Source organism: Homo sapiens, chromosome 16 (assembly GCF_000001405.40).
Source record: "Homo sapiens chromosome 16, GRCh38.p14 Primary Assembly".
Classification (NCBI taxonomy): Eukaryota; Metazoa; Chordata; class Mammalia; order Primates; family Hominidae; genus Homo; species Homo sapiens.
This window is the reverse complement of record NC_000016.10, coordinates 170,979-190,230: the sequence shown is the minus strand read 5'-3', so window position 1 is coordinate 190,230 and position 19,252 is coordinate 170,979. Positions and strand designations below refer to the sequence as shown.

The 19,252-nt window shown below is 58.2% G+C and overlaps 4 protein-coding genes across 11 annotated transcripts in view, besides 18 other annotated features; 1 reads left to right on the top strand and 3 right to left on the bottom strand.

Moving 5' to 3' along the window:
* Window positions 1-1,241, top strand: part of LUC7L (LUC7 like) — a 40,460-nt gene extending 39,219 nt beyond the window's left edge. For 4 of the 8 annotated variants that reach the window (XM_011522561.3, NM_201412.3, XM_005255427.4 and 1 more), the window contains 2 exons: window positions 96-263; window positions 892-1,241. In XM_011522561.3, the coding sequence (XP_011520863.1) occupies window positions 96-263; window positions 892-1,033 (310 nt within the window). In that variant the 3' untranslated portion in view covers window positions 1,034-1,241. Of the gene's footprint in view, window positions 1-95 lie in introns of all 8 variants that reach the window. The other 4 variants (NM_001320226.2, NM_001330420.2, NM_018032.5 and 1 more) reach the window with 3 other exon arrangements.
* Window positions 8,652-9,001: a silencer, noted in NCBI's record as "silent region_6903". NCBI's record gives its function as "represses an Ori minimal core promoter by ATAC-STARR-seq in GM12878 lymphoblastoid cells {active_cell/tissue: GM12878}" and the evidence as "EXISTENCE:reporter gene assay evidence [ECO:0000049][PMID:35858748]".
* Window positions 9,012-9,271: an enhancer, noted in NCBI's record as "active region_10202". NCBI's record gives its function as "activates an Ori minimal core promoter by ATAC-STARR-seq in GM12878 lymphoblastoid cells {active_cell/tissue: GM12878}" and the evidence as "EXISTENCE:reporter gene assay evidence [ECO:0000049][PMID:35858748]".
* On the bottom strand, window positions 9,052-9,772 carry HBQ1 (hemoglobin subunit theta 1). The gene is made up of 3 exons (NM_005331.5): window positions 9,650-9,772; window positions 9,361-9,565; window positions 9,052-9,251 (listed from the first exon to the last, which is right to left on the bottom strand). Exons 1-3 carry the CDS (start codon window positions 9,742-9,744, stop codon window positions 9,123-9,125), a joined length of 429 nt encoding a protein of 142 aa, NP_005322.1. The 5' UTR covers window positions 9,745-9,772; the 3' UTR covers window positions 9,052-9,122.
* Window positions 12,690-12,773: a non allelic homologous recombination region, noted in NCBI's record as "Z1 box recombination sub-region III, recombines with the Z2 box recombination sub-region III within the hemoglobin subunit alpha 2 recombination region". NCBI's record gives the evidence for it as "EXISTENCE:restriction fragment detection evidence [ECO:0001124][PMID:6091047]".
* Window positions 12,690-15,613: a biological region, named in NCBI's record as "hemoglobin subunit alpha 1 recombination region". NCBI's record gives its function as "recombination_partner: LOC106804612".
* On the bottom strand, window positions 12,709-13,551 carry HBA1 (hemoglobin subunit alpha 1). Its single transcript, NM_000558.5, has 3 exons — window positions 13,420-13,551; window positions 13,098-13,302; window positions 12,709-12,948 (listed from the first exon to the last, which is right to left on the bottom strand). The coding sequence occupies exons 1-3, from the start codon at window positions 13,512-13,514 to the stop codon at window positions 12,820-12,822; spliced, it is 429 nt and encodes a 142-aa protein (NP_000549.1). The 5' UTR covers window positions 13,515-13,551; the 3' UTR covers window positions 12,709-12,819.
* Window positions 12,804-12,979: a non allelic homologous recombination region, noted in NCBI's record as "Z1 box recombination sub-region II, recombines with the Z2 box recombination sub-region II within the hemoglobin subunit alpha 2 recombination region". NCBI's record gives the evidence for it as "EXISTENCE:restriction fragment detection evidence [ECO:0001124][PMID:6091047]".
* Window positions 12,980-14,436: a non allelic homologous recombination region, noted in NCBI's record as "Z1 box recombination sub-region I, recombines with the Z2 box recombination sub-region I within the hemoglobin subunit alpha 2 recombination region". NCBI's record gives the evidence for it as "EXISTENCE:restriction fragment detection evidence [ECO:0001124][PMID:6091047]".
* Window positions 14,761-14,785: a non allelic homologous recombination region, noted in NCBI's record as "Y1 box recombination sub-region b, recombines with the Y2 box recombination sub-region b within the hemoglobin subunit alpha 2 recombination region". NCBI's record gives the evidence for it as "EXISTENCE:nucleotide sequencing assay evidence [ECO:0000219][PMID:17573529]".
* Window positions 14,793-14,831: a non allelic homologous recombination region, noted in NCBI's record as "Y1 box recombination sub-region a, recombines with the Y2 box recombination sub-region a within the hemoglobin subunit alpha 2 recombination region". NCBI's record gives the evidence for it as "EXISTENCE:nucleotide sequencing assay evidence [ECO:0000219][PMID:17573529]".
* Window positions 15,408-16,146: an enhancer, noted in NCBI's record as "OCT4-H3K27ac-H3K4me1 hESC enhancer chr16:224084-224822 (GRCh37/hg19 assembly coordinates)". NCBI's record gives its function as "activates a minimal SCP1, AML or CMV promoter by ChIP-STARR-seq in naive H9 embryonic stem cells {active_cell/tissue: H9 hESC(naive)}" and the evidence as "EXISTENCE:reporter gene assay evidence [ECO:0000049][PMID:30033119]".
* Window positions 15,556-15,613: a non allelic homologous recombination region, noted in NCBI's record as "X1 box recombination sub-region, recombines with the X2 box recombination sub-region within the hemoglobin subunit alpha 2 recombination region". NCBI's record gives the evidence for it as "EXISTENCE:nucleotide sequencing assay evidence [ECO:0000219][PMID:14747441]".
* Window positions 16,147-16,886: an enhancer, noted in NCBI's record as "OCT4-H3K27ac-H3K4me1 hESC enhancer chr16:223344-224083 (GRCh37/hg19 assembly coordinates)". NCBI's record gives its function as "activates a minimal SCP1, AML or CMV promoter by ChIP-STARR-seq in naive H9 embryonic stem cells {active_cell/tissue: H9 hESC(naive)}" and the evidence as "EXISTENCE:reporter gene assay evidence [ECO:0000049][PMID:30033119]".
* Window positions 16,502-16,584: a non allelic homologous recombination region, noted in NCBI's record as "Z2 box recombination sub-region III, recombines with the Z1 box recombination sub-region III within the hemoglobin subunit alpha 1 recombination region". NCBI's record gives the evidence for it as "EXISTENCE:restriction fragment detection evidence [ECO:0001124][PMID:6091047]".
* Window positions 16,502-19,252: part of a biological region, named in NCBI's record as "hemoglobin subunit alpha 2 recombination region", that runs on past the window's edge. NCBI's record gives its function as "recombination_partner: LOC106804613".
* Window positions 16,521-17,355, bottom strand: HBA2 (hemoglobin subunit alpha 2). The gene is made up of 3 exons (NM_000517.6): window positions 17,224-17,355; window positions 16,902-17,106; window positions 16,521-16,759 (listed from the first exon to the last, which is right to left on the bottom strand). The coding sequence occupies exons 1-3, from the start codon at window positions 17,316-17,318 to the stop codon at window positions 16,631-16,633; spliced, it is 429 nt and encodes a 142-aa protein (NP_000508.1). The 5' UTR covers window positions 17,319-17,355; the 3' UTR covers window positions 16,521-16,630.
* Window positions 16,615-16,790: a non allelic homologous recombination region, noted in NCBI's record as "Z2 box recombination sub-region II, recombines with the Z1 box recombination sub-region II within the hemoglobin subunit alpha 1 recombination region". NCBI's record gives the evidence for it as "EXISTENCE:restriction fragment detection evidence [ECO:0001124][PMID:6091047]".
* Window positions 16,788-17,387: a non allelic homologous recombination region, noted in NCBI's record as "Z2 box recombination sub-region I, recombines with the Z1 box recombination sub-region I within the hemoglobin subunit alpha 1 recombination region". NCBI's record gives the evidence for it as "EXISTENCE:restriction fragment detection evidence [ECO:0001124][PMID:6091047]".
* Window positions 17,626-18,366: an enhancer, noted in NCBI's record as "H3K27ac-H3K4me1 hESC enhancer chr16:221864-222604 (GRCh37/hg19 assembly coordinates)". NCBI's record gives its function as "activates a minimal SCP1, AML or CMV promoter by ChIP-STARR-seq in naive H9 embryonic stem cells {active_cell/tissue: H9 hESC(naive)}" and the evidence as "EXISTENCE:reporter gene assay evidence [ECO:0000049][PMID:30033119]".
* Window positions 18,315-18,339: a non allelic homologous recombination region, noted in NCBI's record as "Y2 box recombination sub-region b, recombines with the Y1 box recombination sub-region b within the hemoglobin subunit alpha 1 recombination region". NCBI's record gives the evidence for it as "EXISTENCE:nucleotide sequencing assay evidence [ECO:0000219][PMID:17573529]".
* Window positions 18,350-18,388: a non allelic homologous recombination region, noted in NCBI's record as "Y2 box recombination sub-region a, recombines with the Y1 box recombination sub-region a within the hemoglobin subunit alpha 1 recombination region". NCBI's record gives the evidence for it as "EXISTENCE:nucleotide sequencing assay evidence [ECO:0000219][PMID:17573529]".

Here is a 19,252-nt window from a genome sequence, read left to right as displayed (position 1 = left end):
GTCAGTAAAGCAGCAAGCAGAATCTGCTGAGGGGTGGGGCCCTCATAGTGTTGGCACCTATAGAGTCTCAGCCTTGGAGCCTTCTGATTGTTCAGGTCACGCTCCCGGGATCGGCGTCGGAGGCGGTCAAGATCTACCTCCCGAGAGCGACGGAAATTGTCCCGGTCCCGGTCCCGAGATAGACATCGGCGCCACCGCAGCCGTTCCCGGAGCCACAGCCGGGGACATCGTCGGGCTTCCCGGGACCGAAGTGCGAAATACAAGTAACTACTCTGACTCCTTCGGTAGCTGCAACCAGGAGTGAGCCCTTCTCTGTGTTCCCAGGGTCTGCTGAGGGCCGTGTCTGGTGGGGATGGGGCTGGGCTCACCCTCAGGAGTAGGGCTGGGGAGTCGTGAACGGGACTCAGGTGTGGGAAGAGGCGAGAGGGCTGTGGAGGAGCTCGCACGGCGCCAGGTGATGGGCTGCACAGGCACTGTCCCCTGCCTGCGTCCTGGGGCCTGTGCACTGTTGCGTCCATGCTCAGAGTGGCTGAGACTTGTGTCCTGACCAGGCCCTGCTTACCTCTGTTTTGGTTTTTGTTTTTGATATTTTTTTTTCCATTGTGTTTTTACGTAGTGTCATGTTCTGTGCATATAGTGTTGTATTCTCCTTTGCACTGTTTATGTTACAGTGAAGGCTCTCCTTATTAAAAATCTTCGCAAAGGTCACTTTTTAATGGCTATCTAACACTCCATATGTGGTGGGCAAGTCTGGTTGGCCTCCGGGGGGTTTCCAGGTATAGGGGATGTAGGGCCTTGCCTGGCCTGGTCTGCGGGTCCATCGTCAGTGCCTGAGCGGCCAGCAGAAGGGGGGCAGCAGCCTCCACTGAGCCTCTGGTTCCCATTTCCCAGGTTCTCCAGAGAGCGGGCATCCAGAGAGGAGTCCTGGGAGAGCGGGCGGAGCGAGCGAGGGCCCCCGGACTGGAGGCTTGAGAGCTCCAACGGGAAGATGGCTTCACGGAGGTCAGAAGAGAAGGAGGCCGGCGAGATCTGAACCCGTCTCCCGGGTGCTGTAAATAGTCTGATAAACGTTCACACAGTCTAAAATTACCCTTTATATTTGCTGAATACAACTCATCTTTTGTAGTTTAAAATTTCTATTGTTTTGGAGCTAGCTGTGAGTTTCTAGAAGTGTACAGAGTTGCTCCTGTGTTCCCGGGTCATGTTGAGTAGGAATAAATAAATCTGATGCTGCCTCCTGAGGCTGCGGGGGGTTTCTGCTGTCCTCTGCGTAGAGGCTTTTCACTGTGACCCTGTGCCAGTGCCACCAGCACCTCACAGAAACCGTGACTTACTCGTGGGTCACGTCTTGTCTTCTGGCATCCAGTAGATGGCAGGGCACTTCCTGTCCCCTGCATCTGACTGACGGGACCCAGGTGTGCATGGGTGTTTGTTTGCTCGCTCCCACACAACCTTCTGAGTGTCTGAGCTGCCCATCTCCCATGGGGAGGAGGGAGGGGTCCCCATTCTGCATTCATTTATTTAGGAAAAGCTGTCTTGTCTGCTCAGCTGCTACCATAGCCTTAACTTGGGACTCAGGTGAGTTACACTGCATGTCCCCTTTTGAAGTTACTAGCAGAAAACAAAGACCCATGGGGCTGGGCATGGTGACACATGCCTGTAGTCCCAGCTACTACTAAGAAGGCTGAGGCAGGAGGATCTGTTGAGCACAGGACACTGAGGCAAACCTTGATTCCGCCACTGCACTCCAGCCTGGGTGACAAGAAAGCCCTATCTCAAAAAAAAAAAAAAAAAAAAAAAAAAAAAAAATGGTTTGACTCATGTCCCATGTGGGCTGATTATGTTTCCCACCTCTCAGTTCGTTCTTTTTTTTTTTTTTTTGAGACGGAATCTCACTCTGTCGCCCAGGCTGGAGTGCAGTGGCGTGATCTCAGCTCACCGCAACTTCCGCCTCCCAGGTTCACGCCATTCTCCTGCCTCAGCCTCCAGAGTAGCTGGGACTACAGGTGCCTGCCACCTTGCCTGGCTAATTTTTTGTATTTTTAGTAGAAACGGGGTTTCACCTTGTTAGCCAGGATGGTCTCGATCTCCTGACCTCGGGATCTGCCCGCCTCGGCCTCCCAAAGTGCTAGGATTACAGGCGTGAGCCACCGCTCCTGGCCAACACCTTTCAGTTCTTTCTAACATACCTGCTGTACATCAGGCAGGTACTTTAAGACCAAAGTAAAGGGGGACGCGGTGGCTCACGCTTGTAATCCCAGCACTTTGGGAGGCAGATAACCTGAGGTCAGGAGTTCGAGACCAGCCTGGCCAACATGGTGAAACCCTGTCTCTACCAATATACAAAAATTAGCTGGGTGTGGTGGCGGACACCTGTAATCACAGCTACTTGGGAGGCTGAGACAGGAGAATCGTTTGAACCCGGGAGCCAGAGGTTGCAGTGAACCGAGATTGCATCCAGCCTGGACGACAGCAAGACTCTGTCTCAAAAAACCCCCCAAAAACCCAAAATGAAGCCCTTCTGAAAAGGATAACTGCTAACTAATGTGTAGATGATGGGAGCTCCTTCCCTTTTTCACTTCGTGGGAGATTTTTTGGAGGGAATTCCTGAGGTTCACATTGTTAACACATAGCCATCCTCATCCGCTCTGTTTCTGCAGGGGTACACATGCCACCCTTGAGCTGGCTGGCTCAGTGGGCGCACACGGGCGCTGTGGTCTGGGTCTTTCTGCCACCGGTATCACAGTGTAGCTGGTGGCCTTGCTCTGGGCTCTCCTGCCACAGGCTGTCCCCTCCAGGAGGACAGATGGGTAGGTGGGCTGCTCTGCCAGCCCGTGACACAGGTCTAGCCCAGCCAACTGTCTCCAAGGAAAGGAGGGTGGAAGGGGCCGCCCTGTACAGGAGTCACTTGGGATTGATGCTGTGCTTTGCAGGCATCACCCATGTCGATATTCCCTGCGTGTTGCTGTTCCTCCCGTGTTGGTATTCCCCCCGTGTCGCTGTTCCCCCCGTGTCGCTGTTCCCCCCGTGTCGCTGTTCCCCCCGTGTCGCTGTTCCCCCCGTGTCGCTGTTCCCCCCGTGTCGCTGTTCCCCCCGTGTCGCTGTTCCCCCCGTGTCGCTGTTCCCCCCGTGTCGCTGTTCCCCCCGTGTCGCTGTTCCCCCCGTGTCGCTGTTCCCCCCGTGTCGCTGTTCCCCCCGTGTCGCTGTTCCCCCCGTGTCGCTGTTCCCCCCGTGTCGCTGTTCCCCCCGTGTCGCTGTTCCCCCCGTGTCGCTGTTCCCCCCGTGTCGCTGTTCCCCCCGTGTCGCTGTTCCCCCCGTGTCGCTGTTCCCCCCGTGTCGCTGTTCCCCCCGTGTCGCTGTTCCCCCCGTGTCGCTGTTCCCCCCGTGTCGCTGTTCCCCCCGTGTCGCTGTTCCCCCCGTGTCGCTGTTCCCCCCGTGTCGCTGTTCCCCCCGTGTCGCTGTTCCCCCCGTGTCGCTGTTCCCCCCGTGTCGCTGTTCCCCCCGTGTCGCTGTTCCCCCCGTGTCGCTGTTCCCCCCGTGTCGCTGTTCCCCCCGTGTCGCTGTTCCCCCCGTGTCGCTGTTCCCCCCGTGTCGCTGTTCCCCCCGTGTCGCTGTTCCCCCCGTGTCGCTGTTCCCCCCGTGTCGCTGTTCCCCCCGTGTCGCTGTTCCCCCCGTGTCGCTGTTCCCCCCGTGTCGCTGTTCCCCCCGTGTCGCTGTTCCCCCCGTGTCGCTGTTCCCCCCGTGTCGCTGTTCCCCCCGTGTCGCTGTTCCCCCCGTGTCGCTGTTCCCCCCGTGTCGCTGTTCCCCCCGTGTCGCTGTTCCCCCCGTGTCGCTGTTCCCCCCGTGTCGCTGTTCCCCCCGTGTCGCTGTTCCCCCCGTGTCGCTGTTCCCCCCGTGTCGCTGTTCCCCCCGTGTCGCTGTTCCCCCCGTGTCGCTGTTCCCCCCGTGTCGCTGTTCCCCCCGTGTCGCTGTTCCCCCCGTGTCGCTGTTCCCCCCGTGTCGCTGTTCCCCCCGTGTCGCTGTTCCCCCCGTGTCGCTGTTCCCCCCGTGTCGCTGTTCCCCCCGTGTCGCTGTTCCCCCCGTGTCGCTGTTCCCCCCGTGTCGCTGTTCCCCCCGTGTCGCTGTTCCCCCCGTGTCGCTGTTCCCCCCGTGTCGCTGTTCCCCCCGTGTCGCTGTTCCCTCCGTGTCCGTATTCCTCCCGTGTCCGTATTCCTTACCTGCACCTTTTCCTGCAGGTGGGACTCAGGGTACTTGTTCAGCACATGTGCTTTCCTCTTCGTCTTCTAGGAGGGAGTGGTTGGGTCTGGGCTCCCTGTTCCCAAGCCCACGTTGTGTTCATGGCTGTGGCTGCCTGGGTGATGAGTGTGAGTTTGCACCTGGGTTTCCCTGGGCCTTAAGCAGACAGCGTCACCCTCAGAGCCATCACCACTGTGAATCATTTGGATCTTTTTCCATCTGGGCATAAAATTGTATGTGTAGACAAATAGTTGTTTTTTGCTTTTTTGGGTGGGGGGGGTCAGGGTGTGGGGTTTACAGAAAAGGTGCTGTGCCCCTGGCCATCCTGTCCCCCGTGTCTGCTGATTACAGCTGAAGGACAGGTCCTCCTGGGATGCAGCATCAGTGTCCTCGGCCGCCCCTGGTAGCCTCCGGGGCACCATCCGTGCAGGGAGAGGCGCTCCTGCCTCTCTACCGTGCAGGGACAGTCGGGTGGGCTTTTGGTACACCTGCCAGGTGGTGCTGACCAAACTGAGCTTCATGCCCCCGGTGCAGTTTCGCTGATAGCACCCACAACAGCTCTTCCTTTCTCCCTCCTCCCTCCCTCCTCCCAAATAACCCACACCAGGTTCTGCTGTCAGAGTCTGCGATAGGAGTCCCATGTTTTCACTTTTTTCACCCAGTACAGCGAGTCCTTCCTTTCCACTGCAGTACCAGTAAATCTCGCCAAAGATGGCTACTCGGAGATATATGGGTCTGGAAGTGTATCCCTCCCATGTGAAGGGGTCTGTAGTGTCAGGTGGAACCGGCCCTTGTCTCCACCCACAGGGACCACCTTGGCCTGCAGCCCAGACTGCAGGAGAACAGAAGAGAAGGGGGCCTCTCCAGAACATTTGGCGATTAAAAAAAAACTTTTTTTTTTTTTTTTTGAGACGGAGTCTCGCTCTGTCTCCTAGGCTAGAGCGCGGTGATGCAGTCTCGGCTCACTGCACCCTCTGCCTCAGCCTCCCGACTAGCTGGGAATACAGGGGCCCGCCACCATGCCCGGCTAATTGTTGTATTTTTAGTAGAGACAACGTTTCACCATCTTGGCCAGGCTGGTCTTGGACTCCTGACCTCGTGATCCACCCGCCTTGACCTCCCAAAGTGCTGGGATCACAGGCGTAAGCCACGGCACCTGGCCAAAATTATTTATTTATTTTTTTTGAGACGATGCTTGCTTTGTCACCCATGCTGGAGTGCAGTGTTGTAGTCATGGCTTACTGCAGCCTTGAACTCCTGGACTTAAGTGATCCTCCTGCCCCAGCCTCCAAGTAACTGGGACATAGGTGTGCACTACCACACTTGGCTAATTTTTTATGTTTTTGTGGAGACAGGTCTCACTATGTTGCTCAGGATATTCTTGGGAACTCCTGGGCTCAAGCAGTCTTCCCACCTCAGCCTCTCAAAGCACTAGGATTACAGGTGTGTCACCACAGCTGGCAGTGATTTTTTTAAAGGTAAATGGCTCTGTTTGGTGGGTGCTGTCGGCGCCAAACTAGCTGGATGGGCTGTGCCTTGTACCACCTTTGCCTCCTGCACAGGGTTACCTTGGGCTTGGGGAGCGCATGGGCCTTGACCGAAGCCCTGAGTGGGTTAAGGGTAGTCCTGGGGGGAGGAGAGGAGGATGCGGAGGCCGTTTCCTACCCCAGTGTGCAGCCGTCATGGGACAGGCAGGTGCTGGAGCAGGCCGAGGACCCCTATCTGGGGTGGCATCCTTTGGGGGAGGGGTGGCAGCCTGGAGCCAGAACCACGTTGGCCAGGATGGAACTTTTTTTTTTTTTTTTTTGAGACGGAGTCTCGCTTTTGTCACCCAGGCTAGAATGCAGTGGCGCAAACTCGGCTCACTGCAAGCTCCGCCTCCCTGGTTCACGCCATTCTCCTGCCTCAGCCTCCCGAATAGCTGGGACTACAGGCGCCCGCTATCACGCCCGGCCAATTTTTTGTGTGTTTTTTTTAGTAGAGACGGGGTTGCACTGTGTTAGCCAGGATGGTCTCAATCTCGTGACCTTATGATTTGCCCGCCTCGGCCTCCCAAAGTGCTGGGATTATAGGCGTGAGCCACCGCGCCCAGCCAGGATGGAACATTTTTTATTATAGTAAAGTGCACACAAAACGTGCCGTTATAACAGTTTTTCAGTGTACAGTTCAGTGGCACGACGTGTATCTACATTGTTGTGCAGCCTTCACCACCACCTGTGTAGGAGTGGCTTTGAAAAGGCAGAGTATGGCCAGGCGCGGTGGCTTACATCTGCAATCCCAGCACTTTGGGAGGCCAAGGCAGGTGGATCACAAGGTTAAGAAATTGAGACCATCCTGGCCAACATGGTGAAACCCCGTCTCTACTAAAAATATAAAAATGAGCCAGGCGTGGCAGGCACCTGTAATCCCAGCTACTCAGGAGGCTGAGGCAGGAGATTCGCTTGAACCCGGGAGGTGGAGATTGCAGCGAGTTGAGATTGCACCACTGCACTCCAGCCTGGGTGACAGAGCAAGACTCCATCTCAAAAAAAAAAAAAAAAAAAAAAGGCAGAGTGCAAATTCCCCTGGACTTGAGTGGGCATGAGTCTCCCCAACAGTGTGGAGGGCCCACAGCTGCTCCCCCTGCTCCCTTGGATCTGCACCTCTGGGTAGGTTCTGTACCAAGTGGGCTGAGCCCTTGAGCCAGGGCCAGCTCCCTCCAACCTCCACATCTCCAGGGAGGATGCGGTCTGGCTCTTCCACCTTCAGTGATGCTCCAGATGTAATCCCAGGAGGGTGTCCACACCTAGTTACAGGAGTCTGAGAGCCTGGTGCTTCCTCAGGGCCCCTGAGCCTCCTGGGCTCCAAGTGCTTGCTCCTGTGCGCGAAGTTGCAGCAGCCGCAGGTCCTGTGCTCTGGGAGCACACAGGATGATTGAGGTGAGACTGACTCGAGCTACCCCAAGGATAGAAACTAGAACGTGGATCCAAGAGGGGGCTCACGGGTGGGCTAGGGGCCAGATTTTTTCTTTTCTTTTTTTTTTTTTTTGTTTGAGACAGTCTCGCTCTGTCGCAAAGCTGGAGTGCAGTGGTGCAATCTCAGCTCACTCCAACCTCCGACTCTGGTTCAAGTGATTCTCCTGTCTCAGCCTCCCGAGTAGCTGGGAGTACAGGCATGCACCACCACACCCAGTTAGTTTTTATATTTTTAGTAGAAACGGGGTTTCACCATGTTGGCCAGGCTGGTCTTAAACTCCTGACCTCAGGTGATCTACCGGCCTCTGCTTCCCAAAGTGCTGGGATTACAGGCGTGAGCCACCATGCCCCGCCCGGAGATCTAATGTAGTAGAGATAATAACCTTTATCTGCCACATGTAGCAAATATTTTCTCTGGCTCTTCCCCCCGCCCCCTCCTCTTTTTTTTTTTTTTGAGACGGAGTCTCGCTCTGTCGCTCAGGCTGGAGTGCAATGGTGTGATCTCGGCTCACCGCAACCTCCGCCTCCCGGGTTCAAGCCATCCTCCTGCCTCAGCCTCCTGAAGTTGGGATTACAGGCGCCCGCACCACACCCAGCTAATTTTTATTTTTATTTTTATTTTTTCTGAGACGGAGTCTCACTCTGTCGCCCAGGCTGGAGTGCAGTGGCGCAATCTTGGCTCACTGCAGGCTCCGCCTCCGGGGTTCACGCCATTCTCCTGCCGCAGCCTCCCGAGTAGCTGGGAATGCAGGCGCCCGCCACCACCCCCAGCTATTTTTTTGTATTTTTAGTAGAGACGGGGTTTCACAGTGTTAGCCAGGATGGTCTCGATCTCCTGACCTCGTGATCCGCCCGCCTCGGCCTCCCGGAGTGCTGGGATTACAGGCGTGAGCCACCGCGCCCGGCCTGTCCACTTTTCCTCAGTGTCACCTTGAGAATACCATTTCTGAGGAAAAGCATCTCTACATGTGCCTAGAAGACTGGAACAGCTACGCATCAAATGTTAGGGGTGTGGATGAGGCCTGCCTCTACCCCGTGTGTGTGTGTGTGTGTGTGTGGCATGTCTGTGTTACACATGTGCTCTTGGATATGACAGCCATGTCCTGTTCTTGTTTACACATGACACAGTTTGCCGCGTGTCAAGCGGCAGCTGAAGGATGTGCTGCACCCATTCCTGGACCTGGGATACACAGGAAGGTGCAGCAAGCCTTGTTTTCGGAAGTTCTACAATGACCATGATTGGTTTTATGTGGACAAATATAAAAAAGCTTCACTCTCCGTAGTGATGTCGGGTGACGGCAGGGGTCTGGGTCGGTTCCTGGTCCACCTCGCCAGCTACGTGGCTAGGTGCTGGGGCTGGTCCCACCTCCTTCACCACAACCCCCCGGCACCCCAGGTCCCCGATTCCAGGCCACAGCCGCGGCGGCTGGGTGCTGCGCAGGTACCGGCTCGCGCCGGGAGGGGGCGCTGTTCCCTAACCTGCTCCGAGTCAGCCCCGGGCCCTTAACGCCGCCCGCGTGCGTTCACGCTGCAGGTGCGGAGTTCTCGCGGTGGGTCCGGGCCGCGTGCTCGGCGCAGAGTGGGGAGGGCGAAGCCAGCCGCCCTCGGGATGGGCAGAGTCGGCCGTCCTCGCAGCCCGCCGCCCGGGGCGTCCCGCGGCCCTCACCTACCACCCCATTCGGGAGGGTCAGGCTGCACGCAGTTCGGTGCCCCCATGGCCGAGGCCCCAAACCTGCTGGAGGTGGAAAGAGGCGCGCCTGGATCTGGGCACTGGGGGTGTGCCCCAGGCCCTCGCCTTTCCTTGGGGAGGGGCGGCGCCTTCCTCTCGCGTCCTGACCTCGAGAGAGCACGGCAAGAAGGCTGCTCCTGGGAGAGGCTTTACTCAAACACGGGGAAGGTCGCCTGGGGATCCCGCGGCCACCCACCCACAGTTCAGCGGTACTCGGAAACCAGCGCCGAGATAACGTGGCTCAGGAACTTGTCCAGCGACGCCTGCAGCGCGGGGCTGAAGTCTCCGGGGTAGTGCCGGGCGAGGGTTACCAGCAGGCAGTGGCCCAGGAGCTGCGGCGAGCGCTCAAGGCTCACTCGCCTGCACCCGCCCCGCACGCCCCCCGCACCCACCCCGCCGGGGCCCTCCCGGGGACAGGGGCCCAGCACGGCAGCCGCTCACCTGGAAGCTGGCCGGGTCCACTCGCAGCTGGCACGCGTGCAGGTGGCTCAGCGCGGACAGCGCGTGGGGTAGGTCGTCCAGGCGCTCCACGGCGAGGCTCAGCGCGTCCGCCACCTTCTGGCCGTGGGCTCTGACTTGTGAGGAGCCGGGGCTCAGGTCCAGGTGGGAGAAGTAGGTCTTCGTGGCGGGGAAAGCCAGGAAGGTCCTGCGAGAGGAACGTGGGTGAGGCGCGTCCGGGGGGCTTGGGGAGGGAGGGCCCCTGGGGGCGGGGGCGCCCAGCCTGCCGCACCTTTCCAGGGCCTCTGTCGTGTAGACGCCGACGTTGCTGCCCAGCTTCTTCCACAGGGCGCGCACCAGCGCCCGGTCCTCCGCGGACAGCGCCATCCCCGCGCTGGAACCCGCCGCGCCCTGCGACCCCGCTGCGCCTGCGCGGACCGGCCAGGGGTCCCGCGGCCTCCAGGGGGCGCCGCGCCGCAGCTTCGCCGCCCGGGGGTCCAGGGCCTCGTCGGAGATCCCGGGACCGCGCGCGCTCAATCTCCGACAGCTCCGACCGGGGCCCTCTGAATCGCCCTGGATCCAAGGCCCCCCGTCTTAGGTGTTCACTATATGGTATTTAGTCTCTACTAAAAACACAAAAATTGGCCGGGTGCGGTGAGTGCAGTGGCGCCATTCCGGCTCACTGCAACCTCCGCCTCCCGGGTTCAAACGATTCTCCTGCCTCAGCCTCCCGAGTAACTGGGATCACAGGTGCATGCCACCATGCCAATTTTGTATTTTTAGTAGAGACAGGGTTTCACCGTGTTAGGCTGATCTCAAACTCCCGACCTCAGGTGATCCTCCCGCCTCAGCCTCCCAAAGTTCTGGGATTACAGGCGTGAACCACCGCGCCCGGCCATGTACATTATTATAGCACTGAATTTCGGCATGGATTTGGCATTGGAAGTCAGTTTATTCTGCCTCTTGATTCTATTGTGACACTTGCCCGAGTCTGTTTTCTCATTTATTATATAAAATGAGGGTGACAGTTTCTTCTCAGATTGTGAGAATTAAACGGATAACAACTGTGAGGTGCCTGACTCGTAGCAGGTGTTTCTTCAGGGCAGTGAACATTTATTGAGTACCTGGGATGTAACCCAAGAATAATAGTAAATGCATATGCAGCACTCACTCTGCTGTACCCCTTATATCTTTTTTGTTTTAAAAAAGGTGATAAAATAGACATAAATTACCATTGTAGCCATTTTTCAGGTATAAAATTTGGTGATATTAAGAACACTTAGTGTTATGCAGCCATCACCACTATCTAGGTCAGAACTTTTTCATCATCCCAAACGCCACCTCGGTACTCATTAACAGTAACTCTGGCCCCGGCAGCCACTAATCCGCTTTTGGTCCCTATGGATTTGGCTGTAGCGGATATTGCATATAGATGGGGTCATGCAGTTTGTGACCTTTGGTGTCCGGCTTCTTTTACTTGTCAAATATTTTCAGGGTGCAGCTACATCCTATCAGTGCTTCATTTCTTTTTGTGGCCAAATAATATTCCATTGTGTGTATAGACCACCACATTTTGTTTACCCATTCATCTACTGATGTATAATTTTTATAATTTTTTTTGAGATGGAGTTTTGCTCTTGTTGCCCAGGCTAGAGTGCAATGGTGTGATCTCGGGTCACTGCAACCTCTGCCTCCTGGGTTCAAGTGATTCTCCTACCTCAACCTCCCGAGTAGCTGGGATTACAGGCGTGCGCCACCACACCCGGCTAATTTTTTGTATTTTTAGTAGAGATGGGGTTTCCCCATATTGGCCAGGCTGGTCTCGAATTCCTGACCTTGTGATCTGCCCACCTTGGCTTCCCAAAGTGCTGGGATTACAGGCGTGAGCCACTGTGCCCAACCACCGTGCTAATTTTTAAATTAAATTAAATTAGATTAAATTTTTTTTTGAGACAGAGTTTCGCTCTTGTTGCCCAAGCTGGAGTGCGATGGCGCGATCTTGACTCACTACAACCTCCGCCTCCCAAAGTGCCAGGTTTACAGGCATGAGTCATCACACCTGGACAATTTTTGTCTTTTTAGTAGAGACAGGGTTTCACTATGTTGGCTAGGCTGGTCTCGAACCCCTGACTTCAGGTGATCCACCTGCCTAAGCCTGGCAAAGTGCTGCAATTACAGGTGTGAGCCACCGCGCCCGGCCAATTTTTATAATTTTTTCTTAGGCTTAGTCAACTGAAGCAGCAGGAGTGGAGAAGGAAATGATAAATTTATAACTGGTTCTGATCAATTAATTGTAAAAAGCGCTGCACTCCAACCAGCCCTCTGCTGTACATTTGACATATTTCTACCTTTAGGTCAGACCTCCATTCTTCCTGATGAAATAACGAAGACACCGTCTTCCTGACAGTTGATACTGTACCCACAGGCTGCGGGAAGGACATCACAAACGCAGGCAGAGGGCCTGCCATAGGTGTTTACCAAGGGTGATTCATGGGCTCAGGGAATAAAAGATATTCCTATCAGTTGAGGGCCAGGGCTTTATGGCTACCAGCTCCGGGAACCCTCCCTCTGATACCCCAGGCACTGCAAGCCTGCTCAGCAGAGAGAAAACACACACCAGGGAGAAGGGACCTTCTAGCCAGGCCTCTGTGGCCCCGCTCTCCTCTCCAGTCGCAATGGGACAGGCTCCCCAGCCTCAGGGGAGCTGAGTGGGTGCTGAGCTGGGCCCTGAGCTGGGCCCAGAGACAAACGCCTGATCTTGACAGCCCCAGGGCGTCAGTGTCTGGTGTGTGAGCATTCTGGGGTGACCTGGGGGTGAAAGTAGAGCCCCTATTGAATTGCCTGGGGCCTGCAGTTGCACCCCGCACCCCTGATTTCATCTAGACTGTGCCTGTATCTGGGAGGTTTTACGGAGACTAGTGGGAACGATGGGGGATCAATGCAGCCATGCTGGAGTGGGACTTCTCTGACCTACCCACCACCCATATGTGGGAGGACCTCTGGGAAACCAGTGACGTCCCAGGCAGAAAGCCAGCCAGTTCTTGGCACAAGAGTGCCCAGAAACGTAAAGATGGATAAATTCATTATTTCAGCAAACCTGCATTGAATCTGAAAAGTCTGGGAATAAAACTCGGGAAAGAGCAAATGCATCCTCAAAGCACTCTAGGGTCCAGCGTTTTTCCAGCTGGACTTCGCGGTGGCTCCACTTTCCCTCCTCCATCCCCTCCTCCCGCCCCTGCCTTTTCCTACCCTATCCAGCTGCAGAGAGGTTCTAGCCATGTGTGTCCCAGCTGCTGTCCACGCCCATGCCTGGCACGTTTGCTGAGGGAAAAAACTCAGGCACACACAGGCTGCCGCCCACTCAGACTTTATTCAAAGACCACGGGGGTACGGGTGCAGGAAGGGGAGGAGGGGCTGGGGGGAGGCCCAAGGGGCAAGAAGCATGGCCACCGAGGCTCCAGCTTAACGGTATTTGGAGGTCAGCACGGTGCTCACAGAAGCCAGGAACTTGTCCAGGGAGGCGTGCACCGCAGGGGTGAACTCGGCGGGGAGGTGGGCGGCCAGGGTCACCAGCAGGCAGTGGCTTAGGAGCTGTGCAGAGAAGAGGGTCAGTGGGGCCGAGGGCCCAGGCCCGCAGCCGCCGCCTGCGCTACACCTCCCGCAACCCGCGTGATCCTCTGCCCTGCGAGGAAGGCGCCATCTCGCCCCTCGACCCAGATCGCTCCCGGCCCGCCGCTCACCTTGAAGTTGACCGGGTCCACCCGAAGCTTGTGCGCGTGCAGGTCGCTCAGGGCGGACAGCGCGTTGGGCATGTCGTCCACGTGCGCCACGGCGTTGGTCAGCGCGTCGGCCACCTTCTTGCCGTGGCCCTTAACCTGGGCAGAGCCGTGGCTCAGGTCGAAGTGCGGGAAGTAGGTCTTGGTGGTGGGGAAGGACAGGAACATCCTGCGGGGAGAAGCAGAGTGAGGGGTGGGGTTTGGGTCCGGGGCCAGGACGGTTGAGGGTGGCCTGTGGGTCCGGGCGGGCGAGGAGCCCGGGTCGGAGCAGGGGAGGGAGCCTCACCTCTCCAGGGCCTCCGCACCATACTCGCCAGCGTGCGCGCCGACCTTACCCCAGGCGGCCTTGACGTTGGTCTTGTCGGCAGGAGACAGCACCATGGTGGGTTCTCTCTGAGTCTGTGGGGACCAGAAGAGTGCCGGGCCGCGAGCGCGCCAGGGTTTATGCTTGGGGCGCGGGGGCACGCCCGGCCGGGCGGCGCTCATTGGCTGGCGCGGAGCCCGGGGCGCGGCCTGGACCGCAGGGGAGTCCCGGGCGGGGCCTGCGCGGGGCCGGGCGGCGGGCTCGGCCTCCCCTGGGGGTGCACGCGGGGCGGGGGCCAGGACGTCTCCACCCTCCACCCGCCACTCCACTCCCGCCCATCCCGCTCGCCCGGGGGCAGGGCGGTAGCGGCGCTGGCGGGGCCGGCCCGTTGGGGTCGGGCGCTGTCGGCTCGTGCACCCCGGAGCGCAGCGCCACCCTTTCCTTTCGGGCGCCGGAGCGTCCCTAGCGAGGGAGAAAGTCAGCCCGCACCCCCGCCCCGGCCTGGCACGCGCTGGACGCGCATCGACTCCAGCGGGATCGGGGAACACACGGGCGAGCGAGTGCGAGCCGGGAGGCTTCGCCCAATCCTGGGGCGGAGAGGAATGCGCGCACCCGGACGCCCTGGCCCATAGGAACTCAAAAGAATTTCTGCGCAGAGCCCCTCCTGCTCTCCAGCCTCGCTTCCTGCAGCTCCCTTTCCCTCTGGCGATAGTCACTAGTGTGCTTGAGTGACAGGCACCGGGAAGGAATAAACACCAGGACGCAAAAAGCACGGGGCTGGGCTGGGGGCGGCTCCAGATTCAGACTCCTCTACCCGGGGTTGTGGGGTGGCGCGTGGGGTGGTGGGTGCTGGCTAAGCCCCAAGTCATGGACTCACAGTTTGTGTGACTGACTCTCCCACTGGCCTAGAGGTCGTGGTTCACTGTGACACCCCCAGCTCTCCAAATGCTATCTGATGGAAGACTTGCTAGGTAAATACTGGTTAAACAGGTAAACAAAGCAATAGCTGGAACCGGCTGGAGCATTCAACCTCCTCTGGGAGGTAGGCAGTCCTCTAACCATCACACAAGTACACACAGAGGTGCAGACCTCATCACAGGCCCTGAGGAAGTCTGGAGGTGTGGACGAGGCATTCAAGGTGACCAGGGTTAGTCTGAGGGCTTCCTGGAGGAGGTGAGACTTAAGGATATGTATTAGGTGGAGGAGGTGGAGGAGGGAGGAGGCTTGGCTCGGGGAGGGGAAAGGACAGAGGAGACAAGGGCCCTGTGGTTGGAGAATGGAGGTGGGGAGATGTTGGGGTGATGAGGCTGGCCAGCTCCTGCAGGGTGAGGAAGGAAGGGGTGGACTTCTGGGGAAGGGTGGGAGGTGCAGGAGTGCCAGTGGGTGCATCCCTGTGCATGAAAAGTGATGTTTTTTGGGGGGATGGTACTGAGGAGAAAACAGCCTGAGAAATCACTGATAAGTCATTTCCTGGGGGTCTGGCAGAAGATCTTGCTTTGAGGAGTGCATCAGGTCAGCACCCTTCAGCCTGCTCCCTGCCCTGTCTCCCCAGGCCCTTACTCAGGCCCTGCCCTGGGTGTCCAGGAGCAAGCCAGGGTAAGCTGCCTTGGGCAGAGAAGGAAGTAGCTCCGACCAGCTTAGCAATGCTTCCCCCGTTGGATCTTCTCATTTCCCCTCCCTGTCTGCCACCCTCTTCTGACTCTGCCCACAGCCTGAAGGAAAAAAAAAAGATAAGATGTGGGGGCTTTTTTTTTTTTGAGGCGGAGTTTCGCTGTTGTTTTCCAGGCTGGAGTGCAATGGTGTGATCTTAGCTCACTGCAACCTCTGCCTCCTTGGTTAAAATGATTCTCCTGCCTCAGCCTCCGGAGTAGGTGGGTTTACAGGCATGGGCCACCATGCCCGGCTGATTTTGTATTTTTAGTATAGATGGGGTTTCTACATGTTGATCAGGGTGGTCTCAAACTCCCGACCTCAGGTGATCCTCCCACCTCGGCCTCCCAAAGTGCTGGGATTACAGGCGTGAGCCACCGTGCCTGTCGGATTTTAGTTTATTTTTTAAAGTGTTTCTGCTGAAATAACAATGCTCTGGGCTGTGAGGCGCAGGAAGAGCGGGTGGTGGAGAGGGGAGGGAACTCCCCAACAATTCAGAGAGGTCCATGTCCAGAAGGAAAGCAGTGACAGGGTCCTCTCCACCCTCCCCAAAGCTCAATCCAGTACTGTGAGTGTGGAGGGGGAGGCTTGCTGTGGGGCAGGGACTGGGTTGGAAGTGCTGCTCATGTTCCTAGGCTGGCTGAGAGCCAGATGGGCTGTGCAACTTCCCAGCATGGATTCCAGGACTTCAGCACCGGGGACAGGGACGTTTCCAGAAGTTGCTGGCAGCACAGGAAGCAGAAGACCAGGAGGTCCCAGAGGCCCTGGGTGGGGCAATTAGCTGGGAGCTCAGGGCTGGGCACACAGTGAGTTCTGAATGCACCTTACAAACTGCAGGAGACGTGCAGGAGTAAGGCCGCAAGGTGCTCTGCTGAAGAGTCTCCCCAGGTGTGGGCTGCCGGCTGTGAGCATCCCAGCCCCTTCCTCCTTCCCCACTGACTGGGCTGCTCTCAGAGGGTCACCGTGACACAGGAAGTGTGAGTAGGGCCAGCACCCTCACTCCAGCCACCTACCCTCTGGCAGGAAGGGGTGGGAATGAGAGAAATGTTCTGGCACCTGCACTTGCACTGGGGACAGCCTATTTTGCTAGTTTGTTTTGTTTCGTTTTGTTTTGATGGAGAGCGTATGTTAACTGGGTTCAACCAGGGAGATTTCAAAGGAGGGTGGCGATGCTGGGACTCCCTGAGTAGAACCCTGGATGCCTCTCTCCTCCCCAGCTTCTGAGCCACTGCCTGCAGGCCTGGCACCTCTCAGGACAGGGGATGGTTCAGCACCTTCTCTTGAGCAGGCCCACCTCAGCTTCCCCTCCCATACTCCCTGCAGTTCTCCCTCCCCAGCCCCATGCAGCTGCAGAGAGGTCCTTGGTCTGAGACAGGTAAACACCTCCATTGTTGGCACATTCCGGGATAGAGAGAACCCAGGCACACACAGGCTGCTGCCCACTCAGACTTTATTCAAAGACCAGGAAGGGCCGGTGCAAGGAGGGGAGGAGGGCCCGTTGGGAGGCCCAGCGGGCAGGAGGAACGGCTACCGAGGCTCCAGCTTAACGGTATTTGGAGGTCAGCACGGTGCTCACAGAAGCCAGGAACTTGTCCAGGGAGGCGTGCACCGCAGGGGTGAACTCGGCGGGGAGGTGGGCGGCCAGGGTCACCAGCAGGCAGTGGCTTAGGAGCTGTGCAGAGAAGAGGGTCAGTGCGGCCCAGGCCCGCAGCCGCCGCCTGCGCTACACCTCCCGCAACCCGCGTGATCCTCTGCCCTGAGAGGAAGGCGCCATCTCGCCCCTCGACCCAGATCGCTCCCGGCCCGCCGCTCACCTTGAAGTTGACCGGGTCCACCCGAAGCTTGTGCGCGTGCAGGTCGCTCAGGGCGGACAGCGCGTTGGGCATGTCGTCCACGTGCGCCACGGCGTTGGTCAGCGCGTCGGCCACCTTCTTGCCGTGGCCCTTAACCTGGGCAGAGCCGTGGCTCAGGTCGAAGTGCGGGAAGTAGGTCTTGGTGGTGGGGAAGGACAGGAACATCCTGCGGGGAGAAGCAGAGTGAGGGGTGGGGTTTGGGTCCGGGGCCAGGACGGTTGAGGGTGGCCTGTGGGTCCGGGCGGGCGAGGAGCCCGGGTCGGAGCAGGGGAGGGAGCCTCACCTCTCCAGGGCCTCCGCACCATACTCGCCAGCGTGCGCGCCGACCTTACCCCAGGCGGCCTTGACGTTGGTCTTGTCGGCAGGAGACAGCACCATGGTGGGTTCTCTCTGAGTCTGTGGGGACCAGAAGAGTGCCGGCCCGCGAGCGCGCCAGGGTTTATGCTTGGGGCGCGGGGGCACGCCCGGCCGGGCGGCGCTCATTGGCTGGCGCGGAGCCCGGGGCGCGGCCTGGACCGCAGGGGAGTCCCGGGCGGGGCCTGCGCGGGGCCGGGCGGCGGGCTCGGCCTCCCCTGGGGGTGCACGCGGGGCGGGGGCCAGGACGTCTCCACCCTCCACCCGCCACTCCACTCCCGCCCATCCCGCTCGCCCGGGGGCAGGGCGGTAGCGGCGCTGGCGGGGCCGGCCCGTTGGGGTCGGGCGCTGTCGGCTCGTGCACCCCGGAGCGCAGCGCCACCCTTTCCTTTCGGGCGCCGGAGCGTCCCTAGCGAGGGAGAAAGTCAGCCCGCACCCCCGCCCCGGCCTGGCACGCGCTGGACGCGCATCGACTCCAGCGGGATCGGGGAACACACGGGCGAGCGAGTGCGAGCCGGAGGGCTTCGCCCAATCCTGGGGCGGAGAGGAATGCGCGCACCCGGACGCCCTGGCCCATAGGAACTCAAAAGAATTTCTGCGCAGAGCCCCTCCTGCTCTCCAGCCTCGCTTCCTGCAGCTCCCTTTCCCTCTGGCGATAGTCACTAGTGTGCTTGAGTGACAGGCACCGGGAAGGAACAAACACCAGGACGCAAAAAGCACGGGGCTGGGCTGGGGGCGGCTCCAGATTCAGACTCCTCTACCCGGGGTTGTGGGGTGGCGCGTGGGGTGGTGGGTGCTGGCTAAGCCCCAAGTCATGGACTCACAGTTTGTGTGACTGACTCTCCCACTGGCCTAGAGGTCGTGGTTCACTGTGACACCCCCAGCTCTCCAAATGCTATCTGATGGAAGACTTGCTAGGTAAATACTGGTTGTAAACAGATAAACAAACTTGGCTCTGGGTAGGGAAAGGACAGGGGAGAGAAGGCCCCTGTGGTTGCAGAATGTAGGTGAGGGGATGTGGGGTGAGGAAGGAAGGGGTGGACTTGGCGAGGGGGAGGGTGGGAGGTGCAGGAGTGCCAGTGGGTGCATCCCTGCTCATGAAAAGTGATGGTTTGGCCAGGCTCGGTGGCTCACGCCTGTAATCCCAGCACTTTGGGAGGCCAAGGCGGGTGGATCAGCTGAGGTCGGGAGTTCGAGACCAGGCTGACCAACATGGAGAAACCCCGTCTCTACTAAAAATACAAAAATTAGCTGGGTGTGGTGGTGCACGCCTGTAATCCCAGCTACTCGGGAGGTGGAGGCTGGAGAATCCTTTGAACCAGGGAGTTGGAGGTTGCAGTGAGCCGAGATCGTGCCACAGCACTCTAGCCTGACGACACAGCGAGACTCTGTCTCAAAAAAATAAATACATAAGGCCGGGCGCGGTGGCTCACGCCTGTAATCCCAGCACATTGGGAGGCTGAGGCGGGCAGATGCGAGGTCAGGAGATCGAGACCATCCTCGCTAATGCAGTGAAACTCTGTCTCTATTAAAAATAGAAAAAATTAGCCAGGCGTAGTGGGGGGCGCCTGTAGTCCCAGCTACTCAGCTACTCGGGAGGCTGAGGGAGGAGAATGGCGTGAACCTGCGAGGTGGAGCTTGCAGTGAGCCGAGATTGTGCCACTGCACTCCAGCCTGGGTGACAGAGCGAGACTCCGTCACAAAAAAAAAAAAAAAAATAATAATAATAAAAATAAAAAAATAAAGTCATGATTTTTTGGGGGGATCATGATGGAAACATAGTAATAATCAGTGAGACTGTGGAATGGCGCAGAGCTGAATGAACTGGCTGAAAGGGATGCAGGGGAGACACTTCACTGAGAATAGGAAGTTGTACACAGGTATCTACAGTATGATGGTATTTTTGTCCAAAAAGAGAGCCTGTGGCAGTAGTTGTAGATGTAGCTGTGTTCCCTCAG

Coding starts and splice junctions, on each gene's coding strand:
- HBQ1 (NM_005331.5), bottom strand. CDS start 9,744: ATGGCGCTGTCCGCGGAGGACCGGGCGCTGGTGCGCGCCCTGTGGAAG. Junction 9,566..9,649: donor ACGACAGAGGCCCTGGAAAG/GTGCGGCAGGCT, acceptor TTCCTCTCGCAG/GACCTTCCTGGCTTTCCCCG. Junction 9,252..9,360: donor TGGACCCGGCCAGCTTCCAG/GTGAGCGGCTGC, acceptor CGCTCGCCGCAG/CTCCTGGGCCACTGCCTGCT.
- HBA1 (NM_000558.5), bottom strand. CDS start 13,514: ATGGTGCTGTCTCCTGCCGACAAGACCAACGTCAAGGCCGCCTGGGGT. Junction 13,303..13,419: donor GGTGCGGAGGCCCTGGAGAG/GTGAGGCTCCCT, acceptor TTCTCCCCGCAG/GATGTTCCTGTCCTTCCCCA. Junction 12,949..13,097: donor TGGACCCGGTCAACTTCAAG/GTGAGCGGCGGG, acceptor TTCTCTGCACAG/CTCCTAAGCCACTGCCTGCT.
- HBA2 (NM_000517.6), bottom strand. CDS start 17,318: ATGGTGCTGTCTCCTGCCGACAAGACCAACGTCAAGGCCGCCTGGGGT. Junction 17,107..17,223: donor GGTGCGGAGGCCCTGGAGAG/GTGAGGCTCCCT, acceptor TTCTCCCCGCAG/GATGTTCCTGTCCTTCCCCA. Junction 16,760..16,901: donor TGGACCCGGTCAACTTCAAG/GTGAGCGGCGGG, acceptor TTCTCTGCACAG/CTCCTAAGCCACTGCCTGCT.